General features: G+C 33.2%; 2 annotated features.

The window, feature by feature from the left end:
* Positions 4807 to 5007: a silencer, noted in NCBI's record as "peak2458 fragment used in MPRA reporter construct". NCBI's record gives its function as "represses an SCP1 promoter by STARR-seq MPRAs in K562 erythroleukemia cells {active_cell/tissue: K562}" and the evidence as "EXISTENCE:reporter gene assay evidence [ECO:0000049][PMID:32103011]".
* Positions 5387 to 5587: a silencer, noted in NCBI's record as "peak2459 fragment used in MPRA reporter construct". NCBI's record gives its function as "represses an SCP1 promoter by STARR-seq MPRAs in K562 erythroleukemia cells {active_cell/tissue: K562}" and the evidence as "EXISTENCE:reporter gene assay evidence [ECO:0000049][PMID:32103011]".

Here is an 8217-nt window from a genome sequence, read left to right on the forward strand (position 1 = left end):
AGGTGGATGCAATATTTAATAAAGAAATATTACCAAATATTTAATAAAGAAATAATGCCAATGTTACATGAATATTTTTAGAGAATTGGGAAGACATAACACTTTCCAACTTGTTTTATATGGTGGTACCTCCATGATAATAAAACCATACAAGGATATTAAAAGAAATGAAATTACAGACTAATATACTACATAATAATTCTAAACAAAAATGTTTGCAAATATCCAACAATATACTCCAAAGAAAAATACATCGTGACTAAGTGCAGTAATTTCAAGAATGTATGGTTTAAAATTAGAAAACCAAACAATGAAATTAACCACATTAACTGAATAAAAGAAAAAAATATGGTTATTTCAATAGCTGCGGGTAAAGCACTTGTTCACATTTGAAACTATTTGTAATAATAACAAGCTAGGAATAGAAGAGAACTGATGTAAATATCTTAATATATACACAAAAACTACTCTCAACATTATAAATAATCATGACATATTAAACAGTTTCATTCTAACACGAGGAACAAGGTACACATGTCCAGCTCAACACTTTATTCATCATTAAAATAATACTGTGCAGTAAAATTAACAAGGAAAATTTTTAAAAAGAACACAAAAGAAAACTACAAATCCTTATCCCTGATCAACACAGATGTAAAAATACTCAACAAAATTCTAGCAAACTGAAGCTAACAGCACATCAAAAAGATAATTCATCATGATCAAGTGGGCTTTATTCCAGGGGTGCTTGAATGGTTCAAAATAGACAAATCAATAAACATGATTCACCACATAAATGGAACTGAGAACAAAAACCCTATGATCATCTCATTAGATGCAGAATAAGCATTTGATAAAATCCAACATCTGTTTATGATAAAAACCCTCAACAATATAGGTATAGATGGAGTATACCTCAAAAAATGAGTCATCTATGACAAAGCCACAGCCAACATCATCCTGGATGGGCAAAAGTTGGAAGTGTTGCTTCTAGAAACTGGAAAAAAGCAAGGATGTTCACCTTCATCATTCCTATTCAATACATTACTGGAAGTGCTAGCCAGAACTATCAGAAAGGAGAAAGAAATAAAAGGTATACAAATTAGAAAAGAAGTCAAATGATCTCTGCTCACTGATGACATGACTGTAGGCCTGGAAAACCCTAAAGTCTTCAGAAGACTCCTAGACTTGATACACGACTTCAGTAAAGTCTTGGGATAAACAAGCCACAAAAATCAGTTGTATTTCTATACACCAAAAACATTCAAGCTGTTTGAATGTTTGTTGAGATTAATTTGTTGAGAACCAAATTAAGAACTCAACTGAATTTACAATAGCCATGAAAAATACCTAGGAATGCATAACTATATAAATGAAAGATCTCTACAAGGAGAACTACAAAATACTAATGAAAGAAATTATAGATGACATAAACAAATGGAAAAACATCCCATGCTCATGGATTAGAAAAATCAATAGCTAAAGTGACCATATCACCCATACAATCTATAGAGTTAATGCAATTCCCATCAAATTATCAACGTTATTTTTCACAAAATTAAAAAAAAATCCTAAAGTTCACATGGAGCCAAAAAAGATCCCAAATAGCCAAAGCACTTCTAAGCAAAAAACAAAGCAAAACAAAACAAAGCCCCCAGAGCAAAAGACAAATATGGTTCCTACAAATGAAGACCAATGGTAATGCTTATCTGTTCGTGGTAGAAGTGTGAATTGGTAGGATTGTTAAAAAAAATAGTGTAGCATTTCATGGTAATGTTGAATAACTCAATAATTTTACTTTTAAATATATACCCCAGAGGATATCTTGCACATATGAACCAGGTGATTTACAAAAGAATGTTCATAGCAGCATTGTTTGTAATGGTTAAAAACTGGAAAAATTTCAAGTGTTCATCAACAATAGATCTGAGGAATGAAGTCCGACATATTCATGTAGTGGAATATCATATAGCAATATGAATGGATGAATTACAGCAACATTCAACAAGGTTGTAATATGCAAACTTATTGAATCAAGGTGAAAGTACCTTCTGATAAAGGTGAAAGAACTTCTACAAAATAATTTCATTTATATAAGTTTCAAAGAACCAAACTAAATAATGCATCACTTGAGAACCATTAAAGTCTATTAAAAAACACATACAATGCAATGGAAGGACAGTGGTCATATCCAGCAGGAAATAAAGGAGAACACAATTGGCAAGGAGCACCCAATGGGTGTCTAAGGCACTAGTAAAGTTCTATTTTGTTTCCAATCCTCCAAGACATCTAGTTTTTTTATTTTTCTGAGACATGGTGGCCCAGGCTGGAGTACGATAGTGTGATCTTGGCTCACTGCAACCTGTGTCCTGGGCTTAAGTGATCCTCCCACCTCGGCCTCCCAAAGTACTGGGATTACAGGTGTGAGCAACCATGGCCGGCAAATGTTCTATTTCATATCCTGTATGGTGGACACATAGATGTTCTCTTTTTTATTATTCCTTGAACACTAAGTATATGTTTTTTTATATTCTCTGTGGAATACCTCCTTATTTCTCAGTCAATTCAGGATACCTCCTTACCCCCATCCCCTTTTTACTTTTCGTCATGTCATATAGTTTCTGAGATATAGAAAAGCTTACATATTATCCTGTCATCAGAGCGGCATGGAGGCATTTGGTAGAATAAATATTATTTGTTGATTATTCATCCTTTCACTTTACAGAGTCAATCAAACACCAGGTCATGTTAATTTTACTGTCACACACATTTCTTGAATTTGCCTCCTTATCTCTATTTCCACTATTCAGTTCAGACCTTGATCATCACTCATCTGCATTGTAGTTGCATTTTTCTAATTATTCTGTTTCTAGTCTTGTTCTAAAATCTTTTTTCCTCCCACAATGCAGCTAGAGTGGTCAATTTAAAGCATCATCTATCTCAAGAACAAAAAACCAAACACCGCATGTTTTCACTCATAGGTGGGACTTGAACAATGAGAACACGGACACAGGAAGGGGAATATCACACACCGGGGCCTGTTGTGGGGTGGGGGGAGGGGGGAGGGATAGCGTTAGGAGACATACCTAATGTAAATGATGAGTTAATGGGTGCAGCACACCAACATGGCACATGTATACATATGTAACAAACCTGCATGTTGTGCACATGTACCCTAGAACTTAAAGTATAATAAAAATAAATATTAAAAAAAGAAGCATCATCTTTATTAAAACATTTAATGGTCCGACTATTCCTTATGCTATAAATTTCTTATAATTTAATAAATATTTTTCCGTAATTGTGACTCTCTTCTATAGCTCTTGTTACTCCCGATATTCTTCTAATTATCAGGCAGCAGTACAAAGCTGCTTACACCTCTTTACACATCTCTTTATTTTAGGCCTCCTTGCATTTGCTCATGCTGTTCCTTTTTGTTTGAAAAGCTTACACATTTCTTCATTTGGTTAATCCTTGCACACTTTCAAGACTCATTTGAGGCCTCATTGACTTTGGAAACCTTCCCTGTAATCTTGTATTATTAACTTATCTTAGTTTTCACTTATTAGCTCTTATTAGATTACTGTCCTTACGTGTGTAACTCTCCCACTAGACAGTAAGCTTTTGGACGGCAGAGATGATGTCTCATTCATCTTTGCATCTTTAGCGCCCAGCCTGGTTTCTGGTTTCCTATAGTCACTCAGTGTTGAGCTAAACCATATTTTTGGGGCAATGACTTGACAATGCAGTATCATGATGGAACTATCACAGATGGACAGAATGAGTCTCTTGATTCCTACATTTATTTTTCTATTGATATAGCTGATTTAAAAAGAAACCTCTGTTAATTATATAATCATGTAATTACCCTGACATAACATCAAACTCCATAAATTACTTTCCATCTCTGCCTCTCTCTCTTTCTATATATATAACATATACATGTTACAAAAATGCACAGGGAATAAATATGAGCAAAATGGTAAGAAGTGCAGGTTCTAGGTCAGATTTCCTGCATTTACTTGCAGGCTACGCCAACTTTAGAGAAAAGATTTAGTGAAAAATAAAAATGAATCATTAATACACCACTTGGCACCGATAAGTTATTCAGTAAACATTAACATATGTGCATTTATGTTTAACCAGGGGCTTAAGTGATTATCCAGAAATCTCCCTCTCTTTGACTATGTTTGAATATTAGATACTTCTTAATTTATGTTTGCTCTGAATTTGTTTTTTTTCACTCGTTGTATACTCATGGACCATTTTATGTGTTTCAGGAATTGAAATTTTATTTAAAAACTGTTACTATAGAAATTAACTTTTGGATAGTCCTGTTCAGACTAAAACTATCATTTGTAAGATCTGTATTACTGCAATCATTGGTGTTAATACTTTGCATTAATTAAAATTTTTTATGGACATATAATAAGTATTTCTCCCACCTCGATTTTTGTGGCTATCATTTTATTCATTCCATTGCTTTTTTCTCCCAGTTTGCTATGAGGAAGTTGATAAGTACGTAGGCAAAACGATAGATTGTTTTGGCAGCTTCAGTGTATTTAAGTGCCTGTGATGAGGCTATGGTTTATTTTTCTAATGTAGAATTCATAATGTAGAATAAATTTTAAAAACATAAATTTTTTTTCCTGCACATTGTGCACATGTACCCTAGAACTTAAAGTATGATAAAAATATACATATATAACAAATTAATAACATAAATTTCTTTGCACAGCTTTTTCTTTCTGCTATTTTTATTCAATGATTATTTGCTTCCCTTGTTATTTAAGAGCTGACTTCTGGCTTCATGGCCAAAAATAAAATTCTTAGTAGGAGAAAGTAAATGTAATTTACTGATGAAGATGCCACCCCCAAGTGACCCATTAACCACTTTCCCTACGTTACCCTGGGACAACCAAAGTGATTCCAGGAGGCAATTCCCGTGACAAGTGATTTCTGGCTGGCAATGCCAGGTCTCTGAAGTTCCACTTGGCCACTGCCCAAGAACAATTAGTGCCGTTAGTTAACTACCTTTACTATGACAGCATTTTGTGTAACTCTTTGCACAGGGGAGTTTTATGCAACAGACAGAAACTTTCTGAGTTGTTCTGATTGCCTGAAGATGCCCTGTTTTAGAGGAGCAAAATTTTCCCTGTTTACTGTGTTTCAGTGTTAAAAATATGAATGCATTGTCAGGATTAGCTCTGGCAATGGTAGTTAAATGCAGATATCCAGACAAAGGAGGTTATAGATTGGAGACTTTGTGCTACTTGATAATGAAGCCTTGGTTTTGATTTTATTTATTTTTAAGTTGAAAAACAAAACACACACACACACAATACAAAACATGGCACAAAACAAACTTATAGTTTGATTTTTGTAAACATCCCTGTAATCATCACATAAGTCAAGATATAGGACTTTGCCAGCCCTGAAGCATGTGACTCTCCTCAGTTGCAGCCACCTTTCTCCTGAAAAGTAACGATAAACATGACTGTTCCAGTAGAGGTGTCCTTGCATTTTCACGGCTGTGTCCTTCCTGCATGCATTCCAAGACACTATGATTTAGTCTTGCCCATTTGTTTTCATTTGTCGTGTTTTTAAAATCCCTTCTAACATACAGGTTTCTTTTCAAAGTTTTCTTTCCCATACAATATATTTGTTGAAAAATTTGGGATTTTTGTCACTTGGTGTCCACACTGTGAAATTTGCTGGTGAGACTCTCAGTGAAGATCGACATTTTCACTATCCTTTGCGTTTTATCCAAATGACAGTTGAATCCAGAGGTTTGACTAGGACACGTGCTTGGTTCTATTTTTGGTAAGATTGTAGGTGATGGTGTGTTCATTCACCAGGAGGTTTAATTATGGCTTTTATCTTAGCACCTACTACTACTTTCTACTAACACCTGTTAATACAAAGAAAGTTAATATTTTCTACTAGCACCTGTTAATTTTGTTGATCTCTGTATAATTTTTTAATTCTCAATTTCATTTATCTCTGCTCTAATCTTCATTTCCTTCCTTCTGCTAGCTCTGGATTTTGTTTGCTCTTCCTTTTACGGTTTATTGAGTAAAGTTTGGTTATTGATTTGACATGTTTCTTTTTTAAAATGTAGGTGTTACAACTCTGAGCACTGCTTTTGATATATCACACCCATCTTGTTATATATTTGTTTTCAATCATCTCTAAACATTTTCTAATTTCCCTCATGATTTGTTCTTTGATTCATTGGTTGGTAAATACTGTGTTGTTTAATTTCCAAATATTTGTAAATTTTCTAGTTTTTCTTTTGTTATTGATATCTTATTTCATTCCATTGTGGCCAGTGAAGATACTTTGCATGATTTCAATCTTTTTAAGTTTATTGAGCTTATCTTATGGCCTAACGTATCATCTGTGCTGGAGAATGTTCCATGTTCACTTGAGAAGAATGTGTATTCTGCAGTTTTTGAGAGAAGTGTTATCTATAGTTATTGCTTATAGTTTTATTCAAATCCTCTAATTCCTCCCTTGATATTTGCTCTGGATGTTTTATCTTTTATTTAAAGTTGGGTTTTCAAATGCCCAACAATTTTCGTGGAATTGTCTGTCTCTCCCTTTAATTCTCTCAATGGTTACATTATATATTTTGGAGCCCTGTTAGTTGGTGTACATATATTTATAATTGTTATATCTTCTTAATTAATTTTGAAATCAATATATACTGTTCTTTGTATTTTGTAACAGTTTTTGACTTAAAGTCTATTTTGTCTGATATAAGTATATTTGCCTCAGATCTCCTTTGGTTATTACTTACATGGAATATTTTCTCCCATCTTTTCATTTCAACTCATTGTGTATTTTGATCTAAAGTGAGTATCTTGTGGACAATATAGTTGGATCATTTTTAAAAAATCCATTCTGTCAATCTCTTTCTTTGGATTGGAGAGTTTAATTCATTTGTATTTAATGTAATTACTGATAAAGAGGGGCTTACTCCTACCATTTTGCTTTTGTTTTCTGTATGTCTTATACCTCCTTTGTTCCTAATTTCCTCAATTATCGCCTTCTTTTGTGTTTAGTTGCTATTTTGTAGCATATCACTGTGTTTACCCTCTGCTTTCCTTTTCTGTATTTTCAAAAGATATTAACTTAGTGGTTACCATGGGGATTTACAATTAACATTCTTAATTTGGAACAATTTAGAGTAAATTGAAACAACTTCAATAGTATACAAAATCTCTATTATTATTTAGTTTCCTATGAATTTCTTTATGTTGGTAATTTCACAAACCACATCTTTATACATCATGCTTCATTAACATAGATTTATAGTCATTATTTTACACATTTGTTTTAAAACATATAGAATATTAAAAAAGACTTACAAAAATGTGATAATTGCTTTTATATTTACCTATGTAGTTATCTTTACTGGAGTTATTTCTTTATGTGGTTTTGAGTTACTTTCTAGTGTTTTTTAGTTTGTATGTGAAGGAGTCTTTTTTTTTAAAGTGTATCTTGAAGTACAGCCTACCAAACATGAACTTTTAAAGCTTGCTTGCTTTTCTTTCTTTCTTTCTTTCTCTTTCTTTCTTTCTTTTTTCTTTCTTTCTTTCTTTCTTTCTTTCTTTCTTTCTTTCCTTCTTTTTCTCTCTCTCTCTCTCTCTCTTTCTCTCTCTTTCTTCCTTTCTTTCTCTTTCTTCTTTCTCTTCTTTCTTTCTTTCTTTCTTTCTTTCTTTCTTTCTTTCTTTCTCTTTCTCTCTCTCTCTCTTTCTTTTTTTTTAATCTGGGAATGTGTAATTTATCCTTAATACTTGAAGGGGCATCTTCCAAGTTATAGAATTTTTGGTTGACAGTGTTTTTTTCTTTCAGAACTTTAAAATGTCATCCTAAGCTCTTCTGGCACCCATGGTTTATAATGAGCTCTCTGCTGTCAAACTTACTGAGGATCCTTTGTAAATGACGCGTTGCCTTTTTCCTAAGCTCTTCTGGCATCCATGGCTTATAATGCACTATCTGCTGTCAAACTTATTGAGGATCCTTTGTAAATGACGCGTTGCCTTTCTCTTGCTGCTTTCAAACATTCGCTTTGCCTTTTGACAATTTGAAACATAGTGTGTCTTGGTGTGAATATCTTTGTATATTTCCTTGAAGTTCACTGAGCTTTTTGAATGTATATATTTGTTTTTAGTGAAATTTGGGAAGCTTTCAAACACATTTCTTCAAATA

This window comes from Homo sapiens, chromosome 15 (assembly GCF_000001405.40).
Source record: "Homo sapiens chromosome 15, GRCh38.p14 Primary Assembly".
NCBI classification, from domain to species: Eukaryota; Metazoa; Chordata; class Mammalia; order Primates; family Hominidae; genus Homo; species Homo sapiens.